At 41.0% G+C, this 18,796-nt stretch overlaps 1 protein-coding gene and 1 non-coding gene across 3 annotated transcripts in view, besides 3 other annotated features; both read right to left on the minus strand.

Annotated features, from left to right (window-relative positions):
• ANKH (ANKH inorganic pyrophosphate transport regulator) overlaps nucleotides 1–18,796 on the minus strand; it is a 166,979-nt gene that overhangs the window by 103,108 nt on the left and 45,075 nt on the right. The window lies entirely within an intron of this gene.
• Nucleotides 1,562–2,761: an enhancer, noted in NCBI's record as "P300/CBP strongly-dependent group 1 enhancer chr5:14809578-14810777 (GRCh37/hg19 assembly coordinates)". NCBI's record gives its function as "activates an origin of replication core promoter dependent on BRD2, BRD4, P300/CBP, MED14 and CDK7 cofactors, with strong dependence on P300/CBP, by STARR-seq in HCT116 cells {active_cell/tissue: HCT116}" and the evidence as "EXISTENCE:reporter gene assay evidence [ECO:0000049][PMID:35650434]".
• Nucleotides 2,295–2,354: an enhancer, noted in NCBI's record as "active region_22415". NCBI's record gives its function as "activates an Ori minimal core promoter by ATAC-STARR-seq in GM12878 lymphoblastoid cells {active_cell/tissue: GM12878}" and the evidence as "EXISTENCE:reporter gene assay evidence [ECO:0000049][PMID:35858748]".
• Nucleotides 2,395–2,464: an enhancer, noted in NCBI's record as "active region_22416". NCBI's record gives its function as "activates an Ori minimal core promoter by ATAC-STARR-seq in GM12878 lymphoblastoid cells {active_cell/tissue: GM12878}" and the evidence as "EXISTENCE:reporter gene assay evidence [ECO:0000049][PMID:35858748]".
• On the minus strand, nucleotides 18,022–18,105 carry MIR4637 (microRNA 4637). The gene has a single exon (NR_039780.1). It is a non-coding gene; the product is annotated as a microRNA 4637 (primary transcript).

The following is an 18,796-nucleotide window of genomic DNA, read 5'->3' on the forward strand; positions in this document are numbered from 1 at the left end:
GACATGTATATAACTTTAAGTCTTTCTTTCTTCATTAGCTCCTTTAAAAAATTGGAGTTAATAATTTTAGGCACCAAAATGTTATTGCTGGTCATTTATGAAATTGTTTTGCAAAGAGTAACTTTTTCCATGCTCTGAAATCAGTGCTACCTTGCACTTCCAATAAAGTTTTATTAATTTTTTTTGAAAACTGTTTTTTTAATAAACTTATACATGCCCAGTGTGTTAAACACAGAAAAGTATACAAAGGAAGGAAAAATCAGCCATATTCATACCACTCAGCAATAACTATCCACTGTGAATAGTTGAGCATATTTTCTTCCAGCATTTTTTTCTACATGTACATTTTTTTTTACACTATTGAATGTAGAGTTTGTAAATCTTATAGTGATCTTTGACCAAAAGCCATCAAGTCTAAGACTTTATAAACAGAAGATAAAGCTGTACCTTCCAAAAGAAAACACCCAATGATTTGGGGATGTCTTTTGGCTTCTGGGTAATTAAAAAATTTCCTACTCATTCTCATCACTTACATTCTGAAGTTATCTATTCAAACAACAAAGTTTAAAAAGAAAGGCCAGGTGCAGTGGCTCACACCTGTAATCCCAGCACTTTGGGAGGCTGAGGCAGGTGGATCACTTGAGCCCAGGAGTTCAAGACCAGCCTGGCCAACATGGTGAAACCCTGCCACGCCATCAGAGAAATGCAAATCAAAACCACTATGAGATATCATCTCACACCAGTTAGAATGGCAATCATTAAAAAGTTAGGAAACAACAGGTGCTGGAGAGGATGTGGAGAAATAGGAACACTTTTACACTGTTGGTGGGACTGTAAACTAGTTCAACCATTGTGGAAGTCAGTGTGGCGATTCCTCAGGGATCTAGAACTAGAAATACCATTTGACCCAGCCATCCCATTACTGGGTATATACCCAAAGGACTATAAATCATGCTGCTATAAAGACACATGCACACGTATGTTTATTGCGGCATTATTCACAATAGCAAAGACTTGGAACCAACCCAAATGTCCAACAATGATAGACTGGATTAAGAAAATGTGGCACATATACACCATGGAATACTATGCAGCCATAAAAAATGATGAGTTCATGTCCTTTGTAGGGACATGGATGAAATTGGAAACCATCATTCTCAGTAAACTATCGCAAGAACAAAAAAACCAAACACCGCATATTCTCACTCATAGGTGGGAATTGAACAATGAGATCACATGGACACAGGAAGGGGAATATCACACTCTGGGGACTGTGGTGGGGTCGGGGGAGGGGGGAGGGATAGCATTGGGAGATATACCTAATGCTAGATGACACGTTAGTGGGTGCAGCGCACCAGCATGGCACATGTATGCATATGTAACTAACCTGCACAATGTGCACATGTACCCTAAAACTTAGAGTATAATAAAAAAAAAAAAAAAAAAAAAAGAAAAAAAAAGAAATGGAAATAAGGAAAAAAAAATAAAATAAAATACAAAAATTAGCTGGGTGTGCTCATGTGTGCTGTAATCCCAGCTACTTGAAAGTCTCAGAAGGGAGGATGACTTGAGCCCAGGAAGGTGCTGCAGTGAGCCGTGATCGTGCCACTGCACTCCAACGTGGGAGACATAGTGAGACTCTGTCTCAATCAGTCAATCAATAAGTGTCATAACAGAAAGCTCTGAGTTTTTTCCACCACAGCTTTCTATTTCTTCTTGACATAAACTGTTCATGGGATGAAATGATGCCTTTCTGCAGGTATGAAATGTAGAAGCAAATATGACCTGAAAATGTTCAATTCTCACCTTTCTGCATTTCCCAGACCTTTCAGGCTAAGGCCAGGGACCACTTGAATGAGAAGCCTCCAAAGAAAACTCTGGACCCACAGGAAGTGGGGTGATGACTCAATAGGAGGGATCCTTCCTCTGAGTCAGCCCCGTCTCGGTGTGACCCTAGAGCGTGCACTGGGCTCTCAAAGCCACAACAGAATGAAGATCTGAAACCCAGATTTTGCTCACAAAGGAGCCTACACAGGAAGTTAGTTTCTGGGCGCCAGCTGAATTCAAGCCACAGACACGGACTCTGTTTGTGTTCCCTGGTGGCACTAGTGCCTGTTTTCCTGACTCTGACTTCCTGGGTCTCGGCACCACAGATAGCTTCTGCGTTTCTCTACAGGAGGGAAGAAGCAATTTCCAATTCTGAGCTTCATGAGGGAGGAGAATAACTACTATGAAAGCATAAAAACGATTGACTTTTTTTTTTTTTTGAGACAGAGTTTCACTCTTGTCACCCAGGCTGGAGTGCAGTGGCATAATCTTGGCTCACTGCAACCTCCTCCTCTTGGGCTCAAGAGATTCTCCTGCCTCAGCCTACCAAATAGCTGGGATTACAGGCGCCCGCCACCAGGCCAGCTAATTTTTCTGTATTTTTAGTAGAGGCGCGGTTTCACCATGTTGGGCAGGATGGTCTCAAACTCCTAACCTCAGGTGATCCGCCTGCCTCAGCCTCCCAAAGTGCTGGGATTACAGGAGTGAGCCACCGCACCTGGCCAAAAATTGATTGACTTTTAAAGTAGAATAACAGTGAGCATGTTTGTACATGCCTGCACTGATCACAATTAACTTTCAGTCAGTTCACAATTAACTTTCATTGATTTGGAGTTTAAAGTACCCAAGTGACATGACTAATTACAGTAACCATGAATTCAGTGCCTGGCCATTTATCCTAGCAATTTCAAGTCTCAGGAATCTCTTGCAGCATTAAGAAACCAGAGAGACAACTATATGTTTAACTTCTACCTTCTGTCCCCTGAGAAGCCACTACTCATCTTGCTTCCCTCAGGATGAACTTTCTGTTTCTATGTTTAAAAGTCTGCAAAATAAATTTAAAAAACAAACAAAAAAAGCAGACTCAGTATGAGATCAAACCTTACGAATCATTGTCAAGGTCATTTTTTACCTCTTCTATACCTAGACTACTGGGTGGGATAGTGCATTCATAAAATTCCAGATTCAATGCTCTCATTTCCATCGTGACAAAATGCTACTTTATGAAGAATTATGATTTCTACAGGGTGCTGTGGGGTGAAGAAGGAAGGGGGGGAATAAATGGACCATAAAAAGCAAAAGATAAATCATGGTCCTGCAAGTGCAGATCATGATCCCTCCAGTAGACTGCACAGCCTCCTCACTAAGTTAACCTCATTGCCCCAAGCAGCATAATGCATTCTGAACACGTTACTTTGGCTGGTAACAAAACAGTCACTCGGCTTTCAAGAGTCTCGGCTCTGCCAGTGAAACAAGCTCAGCCGCTTCATATTCCTTCATATTCCTTATTCATACACGATAAAAAGACAGTGCTGACCAATAACCACAGCACAGCGACAGGGAAGGGGGAAAAGAAGAGAAACCTGTGCGGTCTTAATAGGCACCAGGACTGTTCTCTGACCTCTCCACTGGCCACTCAGACACACACTTTCCACACGAAGCCTCCATGTGCAACTGTACGACGTCAGTGGGAGGCAGGATTGCTGGTATCAGCTAATAAAAATCCCAGTATACTGTAGGTCCTTTTGAATTGCCTGGTGGGTGCGTACTATTGGAACTAACCACTGAAGAGTATTCTGATAATGGTATACCCTGTCCCCAAGTACAAACAACCTTGTGTGATATGAAAATAACAAAAAGAATATTGAAATTCTGATGTTCAATCCACTTGATTTTTAGTTTCCTAACATTTTAACATATTTCAATTTCAGATGAAACCTCAAAACATACTTTCCTTGTAGTCTCTAGGGTCTAACTCAAAGAGGAACTTTACTGCTTTCTCTTAAGTTTCTGTTTTCTACTAAAAAAATTTCTGAGCAGTTAATCCTTTTCCAAGTAAAACAATGAAATTAGCCATGGGGGCAAGGATGTCTCATTTACCTTTTCATAAAGATTCCATGCTTGATATTATCCACCTTTATTCAGTTCTTCTACTCTTAAGCCTTCAAGGTCTGAAGACCACAGGACAAATAAATAACACCACTGTGGCTCATTAGAAGCACCTTTTAGAAGTCTGAATGTAGAAAATAATCTATCGTCCTACTTCAATTCATGGTACTATCATAGTCCATTCTTCTCTCTCTATTTATTTTCCTTTATAAAATTCTTGCTGAGCTACTTTCAATCACTGGATCCTGAAGGTAGTTGTTTCTGTATTTATCTTAAAAAAAAAAAAAAAAAAAAAAGAATAAAAGGATCCTAATAAGTTTGAAAAACTACCAAGGGAAAACAGATTTCCCTTTAAGGGTTAATGCTTTCTCAAATTAAAACCAAAACCCCAAACTTATTATTTTTTTTTTTACCAAAATATAAGTAAATTGAGTAGTCAAGTTTGGAGCAGATGTGTCTGATGGGGACCATGCTCTCAAAACCCCCTTTCTTCTGCCACCTGTTAACGCACTGGCTGCCTCCTTCACTGAGCGTTCCCCCTGTGACGAAACAGTCTCTCGTGAGGCTTCCTGATCTGGAAGCAGGTTTTGCATGGGCATTACAGAACACTTCATCCCGTAACTACATATTTTCCAGTTTTAATACCTGTAACAAACAGTTCTAGGGTTTGGGGGTGACAAAGACTCTCTTCCTTGAGCAAATCTTAATGGGCCCCTCTGAGCCCTCTTCCTTGCCCTTGAGCCCTGTCTTCAGCCTGTTTATTTGTAGCAATAATCCTACTAAGTCAGTTTAGCCAGAATCCCTGCACCCCTGATATCTGATCACCCTTGATAACTGATCAAGTTCCTTACCTTCCACCCTTGATGTCTATGTCCTTGGCCTGCCTTCAGCAAGAATCCTGTTAATAAAGTCTTCCTTACAGTTTTAGTAAGTGTCAGAATAATTTTTTTCTTTAACACAGGAAACGATCGAAAGACAATCTTTGTACTCAAGTAACTGACTGTCTATCTAGAAACAGACATTCAGTAAACCAACATAAATACAAAGCAGCCTCAAATGAGTGCTACCTACAGTAATAAAATAAGCAGAGTACTACATTTTCTTTGTATTCAATGTAATCATCCTGGTCATATTAACATATGGTTGAAGCACTTTGGGAGGTTAAGGTGGGAGGATCACTTGAAGCCAGACATTTGAGACCAGCCTGGGCAACATAGTGAAACCCTATCTCTACAAAAAATTAAAAAATAAACTGGGCATGGTGGCACATACCTGTAGTCCTAGCTACTCAGGAGGCTAAAGCAGGAGGATCACTTGGGTCCAAGAGTTCAAGGTTACAGTGAGCTATGATCAGGCCACTGCACCTCAGCCTGGGCAATAGAGAGAAATGGCTATTTAAAAAAAAAAAAGCATGGTTGAATGGGCAACCATTATTAGCAGAACCTATTTCTCAATGCAGTAAAGGTTTTGGAATGATACAGGATGGTGTTAAAGACAGGCCCATAGATACTCACAGGGTATCAGCAAAAGTACTTGCAGATTATTAATGTGAATTGTCATCTGAATGCCACAGAGAAATGTTAAGTTCCAATGGCTCTTAAAGAGTTATTTTGACCAAAGCATAAATACAGAAGAGTCACAAAAAAAAAAGGAGGAGAAAAACAAATTAAAATATGCAACAGTGTCCTCAGCTTTGTAGTGTGAAGGTGATCCTGGAAACCCCCAATGTGAAGATGATCTGTACTGACGTGTGCCACAGTGACCTTCAATGCCTGGATCCTTACTGTAGCCCCTGCCCACGGCGTCTATCAGAGGCTGAGCTTCACTGGGACCTGGCACCTAATCTGTGTCTGCCACAGCCATCAATCCAGCTCCAGCTCTACCTCTCAGCTCTCCGTTGCTTCTTGCCATTGCTCCAGCATCATCTTCTTAAAACATGGACAAGACCAAGCCACCTCCATCTTCAGAACCCATTAAGGACTCTTACCCCTACAACATGAGGCTAAACTCATGCCACAGATGATCTGTGCCATATTCTTCCAGCTTCCTCTCCCACCAATGCTCCCACATCCCATGTTCTGGCTTCCCCTGACAACTTGCCAGCCCCCAAGCATCACAGCTGCCACTTCCCCTCTCCCGGCTCAGACAGATTCCTCAGGCCAGACACTCCTCCCTCCTAATTTCCACCTTATCCCAGTTCTTCTTATTCTTCAAGGTCAAGTTCAGATGCTAACATCCTCGAGACAGCGTTCCATCTCACACACCAGAATCAATGATCCCTTTCCCAATGTTTTCATAGACAATTGCTATTCTCTGCATGACATTTTGACATTTATTTCATTCCCACATAGCTTTGTCGTTAGTTATTTATCTTTGTCTCCTCCACATAAACAACGTGAGGGCAGGAGACTGGTGTGTGTCATCAATGTATCAGTTCAGCTTCTAGCGAATAGCAGGTATTTAAAAATGTAAATAGGCTGGGTGTGGTGACACACGCCTGTAATCCCAGCACTTTGGGAGGCTGAGGCAGGAGGACTGTTTGAGCCCAGGAGCTTGAGACCAGCCTGGGCAACATACCAAGACCTTGTCTCTACAGAAAAAATGTTTTTTTAATTAGCGATGCATGGTGGTGCACATCTGTGGTCCCAGCTACTCAGGAGGCTGAGGTGGTAGGATGGCTTGAGCCTGGGAGGTTGAGGCTGCAGTGAGCCATGATTGTGCCACTGCACTCCAGCCTGGGCAATGCAGTGAGACCTTGTCTCAAAAAATTAAAATTAAAATGTAACTAAATGGACCCGGAGTGGATAAATTAAGTCAGATGCTTTTTATTTTATTTCTGCAATTCAATAGTCTGTTTCCAGCACTAAGGTGTGTCTTATGGCATTCCTCGACTCAGACTCAAGGACATACCTTGGATCAGTCCATCTTCTATCTGAGGAGGGCACACTTTCAACCTATAGCACCTCTTGGAGTCAATCTGGCTTTATCTCCCTTCCTCCTCTCTCTAAATAAAAGTTTACTTCTTTCAAATTTCACGAGTTTGGGAGCAGGGCTGCTAGTTTCAGAAAGCCAATATTTTACTAAACAAGGCCCTTTTACTTTATCCGTACTTCAAAACAGAGTTGGAATGTTTAACAGAGCGTTTGCCCTTCCAGTCTGAGGAATCCTGAGCCTTGAAGTTGGTTCTCACCCACCAGCATTGTGTCTCTGCGCTTTTGAACATGTCACCTGTCCCTCTCTGAAAATTCTGTAATTCTGTAAACTGTGTAGAATATTCTAGGTCTGTGGCTTTCTAGAAAAGTAAGTGAACATTTTGGTTCACTTTCCATATCCTCCACCTAATAATACCTACTGGGCTGTAGCAGAACCTCTGGGCTGATGTCTTCAAGAGACCACAGGCAAGTCTCCCGATTTTTCTGCATATGAGGATTTAAAAATTAATGCCCACTGTGTGGCAATGAGAGAGATTTCCCCCCAAAACCCCACTAATTAACAGGTGTCTGGGCTGCAGCTCATCTGTCTGTATGCATGTGAGTGTGTATGGATATATACTTGTGTTTGAATAACAAGAACACTGCCACTGCCTTGAAATTGTTCATTCATAGTCATTCTTGTCACCTGCAATTTTTGCTATTTTACCACTTACTTTCTCCCATCAATCATTCTAAAAATATGGATGATGTGGAGGTCCACCAGGGTTTCCAGGGAACCCCATGGTTTCTACACTTCCCCAGTGCTGTGCTAGTTATTTGCTTCTTGTGCCTAAGTCAGTTCTCATGGATGACAAAGTACTCGTTCGCCCCTACTAAGGAGTATTCTTTATGCAATAATAACCACTCCCAGGGCACCCCAGACAAATAGAAAAAGGAATGACAATGTATACATACAAAGACAGGGGCCATGAGCCACACAGACACGACCACAAGTGTCCAGGAGCACAGAGGCATTGGCCAATGTAGAGACTTAATACTGCCAAACACAAGTCAAACACGATCGGGAATTTTGCATGGCAGAGTCTAGTGACTCTTGAGGCACAGATCGAGGGCGCTGGCTAGTAAGCTAGACCAGGCCAAGGTGGGCAGGTTATTGTTGTGAATGACCAATTCTGAATTCCAGCCCCTATTTTTCTGTTTGCTCATCCTTGTTTACTAGATTGTCCGATCCTGGTTTCCAGCTAAAGACATTTTTTGGCATATCAGTTTGACTAAGCACTGGGGATAAGCTGAAAAATAAGTATTCCTGACCCACAAAACATCCCAGTTGCCATTCTAATGGGGAGAGGACATTATGCTAAATTCCTTTCTTTTCCAAACCCAAAAACATTTTTCTTTAATTTGTTGATCTAAAGAGGTTGAAGGGCAGAGGACAGAAGTCATTGTCTTAGGACAGGACACCTGAGCATCACCTTCAGCGAGTGACCTCTGCAGGACTCAGTATCCTCACATGCAAAATCAAAGAAGATTGGTTTAGAAGCTTTAAGAAAAGAGAGAGAAGCCACTTCGAATGGGTCTAATTGTAATTTCTTCTAAACTTCAAATTGTTGTGTGGATGATTTTTTTTTCCTCACAATCCTTTTATTTGAACAACCTGATGTAGCATCAGAGAGTGACTTGGGGTGTCAGAGAGGAACAGGACCCAGCATGAGAGGAAGGGGATGATTCATTCGAACTTGTCAAACTCAGAAGGGAAAATAAATCATGATCATCTTATAAAAGCGACGTAAAAGCCTCGGAGATGACTCTTGTTTCTGGCTCTATTCTCTCACAAAAGGTTTTATTTGGGCATCAATATTTTCAGGAGGCCCAAGGGTTTCAGTCGACTTTCTTGGAATGTTCATGTCAAGTACATCTGACTGTTCTTCAGTAGAGTCTCTGTAACAGGTTGGTCTGGCACCAAGAAAAGCTTCTCAAAAATTCACCCAACCAAGAGGCAGGACAGTCAACACTGCAAGCCACGAGCTTTGGCCAGGATGAACACGATGGCAAACAAACTCTCCCACGGGGAAAAGAAAAACACTCATTTGGGATGTGACCAAAGGAAGGACCAGGGACTGAGAGCTCGAGCTTTTACCTCGTTGCACAGATCTCAGCCTTTTTAGATGGATTGCCGTGAGTTGCTGTTGGATACAATTTTTAAATTAAAAAATAACATAATCTGCTTCGATGATCCCATACCATGGTGTTTTCTAAGTTCAAATATTTCACTGAATAAAGTGCTTCAATTCTTTTAGACATAAGCTCCCATTTTTCTGTTGTTTTTGCCAAATAGACAGATGGAAAGGATGTATTGTGCAAGAGTCTAGGATTGGGCACCACAGGGTAGAAATGATGAATCAAAGCTTACTGATTCTGTTTGGCTTTCTGTGGTGCATTTTGGCAGCCCTGTGTGGATGTGTCAGAGGCTGTCTGACCACGCGTGAGGCTCGTTGATGGTGATAGGTTTCTATGTGTGACGCTAAAACGCCAGGAAAGAAAAGGATAGAAACTGCTAAACATGAGTGGAAATGAGTGAAATGGAAGGATGAAAATAAGAAAGGCAAAAAGGGGGTGAAAGAAAAAACAAAAATCCTGGTGAATTTAAGAAGGAATATAGGCATTTCTGAACTACCATGAGATGGATGAGATGGAGTACAATTGTCATGTTAAATGAATCTTCTCCCAGTCATATACTCTGTGCTCCCCAGAGACCAGCTTTCTCCTTACTCCTCAATCCTCCTACTGTATACAGAACTAGTCAAGAAGACAGACTTGACCTGATACAGAGTGACATCTGCCATCACTTCTGATGTTTAGGTTCACAAGTGTGAAGAAGTAAAAGGCTGTGAATTTCCCCAGGGTATTCTGTCTAGAGAATGTTCCCTCTGACATGGCTACATAACCTACAGATATAGGCTTCACCTGGAGAGAGGTGTGTCAACCCCCTCTTTCACTGTAAAGAATAAAGGGTTCACTATAAGAGAGGGTTAACAATTTTAATGTAAAAGCTAATGCAAAAAGGAAAAAGCAAGATTTAAAGTAACCAATGGCCTTGGTCAACACGGTAAAACCCCATCTCTACTAAAAATACAAAAATTATCCAGGCATGATAGTGTGGGCCTGTAGTCCTAGCTACTCAGGAGGCTGAGGCATGAGAACTGCTTGAACCGGGGAGGTGGAGATTGCAGTGAGCTGAGATCTCACCACTGCACTCCAGCCTGGGTGACAGTGCAAGACTTTGTCTCAAAAAAAAAAAAAAAAAAAGGAAAAAAAAAAACCCAATGGCTAGGAGTATTTGTCACTTATCTCATTAGTCTACCCATACCGGTTATAATTCACCACGCATCCTGATGAAACCTTTAGCTCTTTTCTCTCACCTGCCTTATTCCATGTGGAAGCCCAGGATTTGCTCATACTCCATATTTAAGTTTTAAACTCTCCAGCAGGATCAGTAGGAGGAGAAAGTCCTACCCTCCCTTCTCCTCCTCTCCCTCTTGGTGCTATTCCATCTTTTTTTCTTTTTTTAATAAGGCAGAAGCGGCTGGGCACAGTGGCTCACGCCTGTAATCCCAACACTTTGGGGGGCTGAGGCAGGTATGGATCACCTGAGGTCAGGAGTTCGAGACCAGCCTGGCCAACATGGTGAACCCCTATCTCTACTAAAAATACAAAAATTATCCAGGCATGGTGGCGGGCACCTGTAGTCTTAGCTACTCGGGAGGCTAAGGCAGGAGAATCGCTTGAACCCTGGGAGGTGGAGGTTGCAAGTGAGCCGAGATTGCACCATTGCACTCCAGCCTGGGTGACAAGAGCAAAACTCCATCTCAAAAAAAAAAAAAAAAAAAAAAAAAGAGGCAGAAGCAGAAAAAAGAATTAGACCCCTGTGTGCACACTGGGCTTCCACACCACCCCTAGTCTCAAGGTTGCCACTTCCAATGGAAACAGCAATTCTGCCCTTGATTCTTTTACAAAGAAATAAAAAGCCTCACTGAAACCTCATCGTTCTGGTCGCCGACTCTTTGAAATGTGCACACAATGGACACTTAGTAGAGGATACCTTCAGCAAATGCCTTAACCTAGAATTTATACTGAATCGCTGCTGAAGAGCTACTTTTGAAAAAAGCTAATTTTCTTAAATCATACAATACTGTATCCTAAAAACAATTAAACAGAAATCTACTGAGGTTTTGACACAGAGACCGAAAGTGGCTTCACCATAAAGCACCAAAGGCTCAACTCTGAATACGGAGTTAATGACCGGGTTGCCAGCATGAGCTACCCCTCGTCTGGCATGAATGGCACTGTGGTCCACTGTCCAGAAAGAGCTGATGTCTTCCTGGAAAGTAACTCTCTGGGGAGTTTCCATAATTGTCTTCAGAAAAAATGAAACACTGAAACTACCGTTTATTCTGCTGTCTCAACCTATTTCTTTTGCATAACTCATAAAATAACTAAGCATTCAGGAAAGACATATGGGCAGGAAATAGGCCGATACACAAGTCCAGGCACCCATATCTATGTGGGACTATATTGCTGTAATGCAGTCATGAAAATCTGCGGCGAGGGCCTGGACTTTCTGAACTCAATAAGCCCTCTGGGTAGGGGCTAACATTTCTACAAGGAGGTCCTCTCTGCAGTAAAAGTGGTTCGATAATGTTACAATGTAATTCTGTATCACCTTTATTTCAGTCTGCCACAGAGAGAGCTACTTTTGGTGCAAGCTCCCACTGACTTCTTACAAGTGGATTAAAATACGTGAAGCCTTGGCTGGGCACGGTGACTCATGCCTGTAATCCCAGCACTTTGGGAGGCCAAGAACGGCAGATCTCTTGAGCCCAGGAATTCAAGACCAGCCTGGGCAACAAGGCAAAACCCCGTCTCTACCAAAAATTCAAAAATTAGCCAGGCATGGTAGTGTGCGTCTATAGTCCCAACTACTTGGGAGGCTGAGGTGGGAGGATCCCTAGAACCTGGAAGGTCGAGGCTATAGTGAGAGGAGATGGCACCACTGCACTACAGTCTGAATGACAGAGTGAAAGCTCGTCTCAACAATAACAACAACAACAACAACAACAAAAATATACACACACACACACACACACACACACACACACACACACATTAAGCCTAATCTCTAACAACCTTTGCAACTCATTATATAACGCCAATGGGAGACACATGCCCATATATTTTGGACCAAATACTATGGTGTAAATTAAGATCTCACTCCTGTAGAAATAATTCAGACTAGAGAAACCAGTATTTTATAAGAAAGTATTTTATAAAATTTTAGGCCAGATTTTGTACTTTGGTTGTAAGCATAATAAAATGTCCACATAACAGTAATAAACAATGAATTTTCTAAGTAAATATAAACTTCAGTTCTAACCATAGAGTTTACTTTAGCTTGCCTAATATAGTGTTTTTTAGTTTCATGAATGAGATGAAATAAGAACTTACTCTGTACCATTTTACAATAAAATTGTCCTAAAGTGCTAATACAGGGGCTTTCTATGCAACTTATTATTTTGCCATAGAAAAAAAGTTACTCTGACACTTGTTAAAATGGTAAGGAAGACTTTATTTGGGACTATTGCAATAGGGGAAAGAGATGGAGCTCAACTCTGAATATAAGAACAAGGGAGAATGACAGCCAACAAGCAGAGTGAGAGGACTGCTGGATGGAAAACTACTAAGAGGAGACACCACAATTAGGGAGATTCTTACAAAACTCACCTAACAGGATTCTTGCTGAGGGCAGGCCAACGGCCCAACATCAAGGGTGGGGAAATGAGGAACTTGATCAATATTAAGGGTGATCAGATACCAAGGGTAGGAGGATTCCCACTAAACTGACTTGGAAGAATTCTTGCTAAAGGCAGACCAGGAGGGAGAGGCACAGAAGGTTAAGAAGAAGGCTCAGGGGAGCTTAACTAAAGTTTGGTAAAGGAGAGAATTTTTGTCAGTTTCTACCATAAGAAAAATTTAAGTTATTACAGCCAGGTGCAGTGGCTTATGCCTGTAATCCCAGCACTCTGGGAGGCCAAGGCAGGCGGATCTCTTAAGCCCAGGAATTCGAGACCAGCCTGGGCGACATGATAAAACCTGTCTCTACCAGAAATACAAACAAATTAGCTGGGGGTGGTGGTGACACTGTAGTCCCAGCACCTCACAGGGGCTCAGGTGGGAGGATTGCTTGAGCTTGGGAGATGGAGGTTGCAGTGAGACCTGATCATACCACTGTACTCCAGCCTGGGTGACAGAATGAGACCCTGTCTTAAAAAAAAAAAAAAATTTCAGTTATTAAACTTCAAAACATGCCAAGACCTTATTAAAGCCCGACATCATATAAATGATACATGTGTGAGTTTGTAGATACATTCCAAGTTAATTCTGAGAACATGCCTCTATTACCAATCCCTTGAGGGTAATAATCTAGCAAAACTTCCCTCTCCAATCAACACTAATAAACCCAAAGGTCATAGCTTCTTCAAAATGAGGGCCATCTGGTTGACAACAACCGTTTAAATTGGCCAGGAAGACATAGTATGTTATCATCTCACTTAGAATTACAGTAACAGCTCTTTTACTCTGAAAATGGAATGACATAAAATAGTTCGTATTCCAGATCGGAGGGAGGAAAATCCGATCAGACAAAGACTCTGTGACATGTTCCGGTTATGAATTAACACTGACCGTTTTTGGTAATTATGGTTTATACTTGCTGTAAGGGCTTTGAAGCATTTGAAATGGCATTAATGTACCATCTTCACTGCCCATACTAAACCAAAACATAAACATTCACTAAGCACAACTTCCACATTTTCAGGGGAAAAAGCTTGATACAGTAAAAACAGCCTTTGGCTGAAAAGTAGCCTGCTAACTAAAGAAAGCACTGTGACTATAACTGGAGTCTTTAATTTCTGCCGCATCCCATCCATGTGGCTATGGCAACAGTAGAACCAGATAAATGAGCGAAAAAAAGGAATCCTTTACATTAAGGCCCTCTGATGTGGATTTTTAATTTCCTTCAGGAAATGACTAACATTAGATCAGTGTTTGGGTTTTTCCTTTTTTTTTCCATAAAAATAAAGTTAAACCCTGCTATGGAACAGCATTTGATCTGTGCAAATAAACATCAGAAGGTTATATTTTCCAGACAGTTCTGTCAACATTTTCCTTTTCAAGATCTGACATTTAGTTTTCTGCAAAGGAACAGACATTTCACATGATCCCTTTCTTTCTCCTATCTGAAGCTGCAGTCAAGCCATTGATGGACCCTGCTGTCCAATACAGCAACCTGGATAACATGTAGCTAGGAGCATTTGAAAAGTGCTAGTCTGAACTGTGATGTGCTGTATGTGTAAATACACACTGGATTTCCATGACTTAGTACAGAAAAAGAAGGAATATCTCAATAATAATTTTATTTTGATGACATACAGGAATAATAGTATTTGGATATACTGAGTTAAATATAGCACTAAAAATTTCAACTATTTATTTTTAATTTTTAAATAAGGCTACTAGAAAATTTTAAGTTATATATGTGGCTCACATTACTTCTGTTGGACAGCTGCATGAGACACTTCTTTGGAGGAGGCTGTTTTTCCTAGCCATCTGAACAGAATGAATATTTCACACTTCAGAAATAGCACTACCAGCAGAATCACATAATGACCCTACATCGGGCCCATCTGCTCAAATAAGGATTCAATTCTGTTATGTAATCATTTTATTGTATATAAAATGGTAGTGGCCTTCATTTTTCATGACATAGAGCACACATTCAGAAGCAATGTTAACCACAATAGTAAAAACTCTGCCAATAAACAACAGAAATTTCACGACCACAGATATTCAAATCCCAGAAATACACGAAAACCACATTTGTCCTTTTCTTATGCTCTAAGAACCTGCCATTAAACATTACTAATACCGTAATTGGCTGAGCGTGGTGGCTCACGCCTGTAATCCCAGCACTTTGGGAGGCCGAGGCGGGTGGACCACGAGGTCAGGAGATCGAGACCACGGTGAAACCCTGTCTCTACTAAAAATAGAAAAAATTAGCTGGGCGCAGTGGTGCACGCCTGTAGTCCCAGCTACTCGGGAGGCTGAGGCAGGAGAATGGCGTGAACCCGGAAGGCGGAGCTTGCAGTGAGCCGAGATCACGCCACTGCACTTCAGCCTGGGCGACAGAGCCAGACTCCGTCTCAAAAAAAAAAAAAATACTGTAATTAATTTAAGGTTATCTGGACTTGGTAATATAAAATACACTATTATGTAATTTTATAACACTAAATAAAACCAAACATTCAACTACACTTCTGACATTTACTATATTTGTTGCAATGGGAAAAGTGTGAACTTCAGTGTTTACTTGTAACAGTTCCATGAGTAGTCAGAAAGCCTAATATATACTATTTTATACCTATATTACAAGAAAATAAGTTTAGTTCATTTATTTTATTAGTCATAACTGCTTTGAACTGTGATTCACTTAAATATCAGTGTCTCTATCTCTCAGAATATCAGGAATAACAACAACAATTTTAAAATAAAAAGAACTTTTAAAAAGGAGAGATCCTGTTTATAAAATGAACAATTTGCAGTGGAAATGAACAATTTACAACATTGTATAGCAAGAAGGCAATCATAGCATGGTGTGTGAGTGGGTGATCCTTCTAGAAATAATTCAGGAATTGAGAGACTGAGAGAGAAAAAGTGAGTATTTTCAAGCAAACTGGAGATCAAAACTCACAAATGACTTTCAAGTTCACAGCCTCTTACGCATGAGAAGTCATTTCCACATTTAAATCTTTCTTTGGCAGGGCGCGGTTGCTGATGCCTGTAATCCCAGCATTTTGGGAGGCCAAGGCGGGTGGATCACCTGAGGTCAGGAGTTCGAGACCAGCCTGGCCAACATGGTGAAATCCTGTCTCCACTAAAAATATAAAAATTAGCCAGGCATAGCGGCACATGCCTGTAATCTCAGCTGCTTGGAAGGCTGAGGCAGGAGGATTGAGGCTTGAACCTAGGAGGTGGAGGTTGCAGTGAGTGGAGATCACGCCACTGCACTCCAGCCTGGGTGACAAAGAGAGACTCCATCTCAAAAAACAAACAAACAAACAAATCTTTCTTTCTCCCTGTGGTTCTGCTGCCCAGATAAACAGGCAGCAGACAGAAACCCACTGTGGTATGTAAGAATACCTTACCCCAACCAAGAGTCTGCAGAGCCCTCAGATAGCTGTGACTGCAGACAAAAACCCATCTCCATGACATTTTATCTCCACAGCCATAGAGGCTGAAACAATCTGTTCCCAGCAGGGCCATCCTTCCTTGAAAGAAGGAAAAAAAATAGTCTCTGATGAAATGTAAATAGGAAAAAATTAAAAGTGATTTATTTTTCAGATTTTTTTGGAAAAAAAATTAGTCAAGTTAATCAAGCAGATCTAGCCTAGAAATGACATGTCTGCTGCATACGATGTATTCTCGTTTGAAAATAAAAACCAAAACTGGACTAGAAGCATAAAGGGCAACAACGGCTGGGTGATTTTTTCCAATAATAGAGATATAAAAAAGCGGTTTCTTTTTTAATGTTAAAATTAAGTTGCATTTAAATTAGGAAGGAATGTTCATGGTCACGAATTCTAAAACACAACAGCTCAATGTCCCATAGAATCAAAGGGTACCCTCAATATTGGTTCATAGAATGCGAATAGCTGTATGTTAATCATAATACAAAATAAGAAGTAATTTCCAAACAGTACCAGTAATAAATAAAATGAACAGTTCTGCAGTTTGTGAGATCATTTCATCAGCTGACAGGAGCGACTGCCAACACTCCTGGTTCCCAAGGTGGTGCTGAGGTCCCAAGCCCAAAGTCCCTATTAAATTACCACTGTAACAGCCCAAGGAGTTAGCCCTGATACTTCTATTTTCTGCCTGGCCCCTGACTTCTGCTTGGCCTGTCAGGGGGCATATCAGTAGCCTCCCACCTCCAACAGCTCTGGTTACACGCCCCAAAAGGTGAGCAATATCACTTTCTCAACTCAGTGAAAATAACTTTGAAGAACAAATGTGATAAAGAATATTCTAACTTTGCACAGTGGAAAATGCTTTGAGATCTAGAGGTAAAAGGCAAGAGATTATCACCTGTTAGCAACAGACAGACGGATGGTCTAATTGTTCCCTATGTTTTTATAAAACTGAAACAAAACAGTGTGGAAAGAAAAAACAAATATTGAAAAATAGGTACTTTCCTCATTTGGCTTAGAACAAATATTGAGGAATAGGTGCTTTCCTCATTCAGCTACCATTACCAAGATTTTTAAAAGACACATGAGGACTCACAAAAACGACTGGGCAAATACCCAACTGCCTTGTGGCTTGGCCAAAAGTCTTTAAGGTACGCTGGTACACAGAAATTCTAACTACTCAGCTATTCCATGGCCTATCAAAACTCTTTCTACTACTATACATCTACAGCTTCTATCTGACATCTGTTTAAATATCTACTTCTTGGTGATTTTCTTTCTTTTTTATTTTTTTGAGACAGGATCTCCCTCTGTTGCCCAGGCTGGAGTGCAATGGCACAATCTTGGCTCACTGCAGCCTTGACCTCTTGGGCTCAAGCAATCCTCCCATCTCAGCCTCCCGAGTAGCTGAGACTACAGGTGTGCACCACCATGCCTGATTAATTTTTGTATTTTTTTGTAGAGACAGGATCTCACTATGTTGCCCAGGTTGGTCTCAAACTCCTGGGCTCAAGTGATCCTCCTGCATCAGCCTCTCAAAGTGCTGGGATTTAAGATGTGAGCCATCATGCCCAGCCTCAAGCCTTTTAATAAACATATCTTAGTGCCTTAGAGGAACCTGAAATCTATCGAATTGATAAAGATGGCAATGAGCTGACTCATCTGAACTGATCGTGCAGAATCTCTTAAGAAAATAAGTGCCTAATCTTAACGTTGTCCGTGTACAGGGGCTCACAGAATTGTGCCTTCATCTTTTCTTTCTACAGTGCTATACGCAAAAAATTAAAACACAAGTACCAGTGACATCATGTTATGTAACCTCCATAATTAAAATCTAGAGGTTAGGGTTAGAACCCTCACTTGAATCTGCAGTTAGTATTAAAAACTAACTAAATACAATCTATGATTAAAATACTAATTGCAGATCCAAGTAAGGGTCCTAACTAATTTTTCCAGGACGAACTAAACAGATATCACTGGTTAAGACATTAAAACCTCTTTTCCAGACTAACGCAATGTATGCATGGTTAACCTAATAACCATAGCATGTTTCTCTAAGCAAATAAGTTAAAGTAAACCAAAGGATAAAGTACACATTGATGTGTGTTTTTCCATGCACATGTGTATTAGGTTTTCTTGACAAACCACCCAGCTCATGACAAATTAATGGGTGCTGTATTAGGTAGAATGAACACCTCATATGGGATTAAGTCTCAAGCTGTATATCTGGATTTGGTCTCCCAAAAAAGAAAACAGAGTTGGTGACTAAGTTATCTCTCTACCAAATCTTGTCAGATTACAGATTAAAGGGACAGCGAAAAAGACCAACTAGCAGCTTTGTTCTTCCTGTTTGTGCTTCTTCATCAACTCATATTTGTCATTTGGATTCATGCCTTTTTGGTAATTCCATTTCTTCATCTATCAAATGGGGATAATTCTGGTACCTACTTCATAAAGGCTATGGTGGGAATTAATAAATTAATTCCATCTTATTAAATAAGATCAAATAAGTATGTCAAGTTCTTGGTATTTTAGTACACAGCAAATGCTCCCTACATGTTAGCTTTCATTATTTTATTCAGAAACAATAACACAGCTGAATTTCGGCATGAACACTGGAATTTGACT

This window comes from Homo sapiens, chromosome 5 (genome assembly GCF_000001405.40).
Source record: "Homo sapiens chromosome 5, GRCh38.p14 Primary Assembly".
Lineage (NCBI taxonomy): Eukaryota > Metazoa > Chordata > Mammalia > Primates > Hominidae > Homo > Homo sapiens.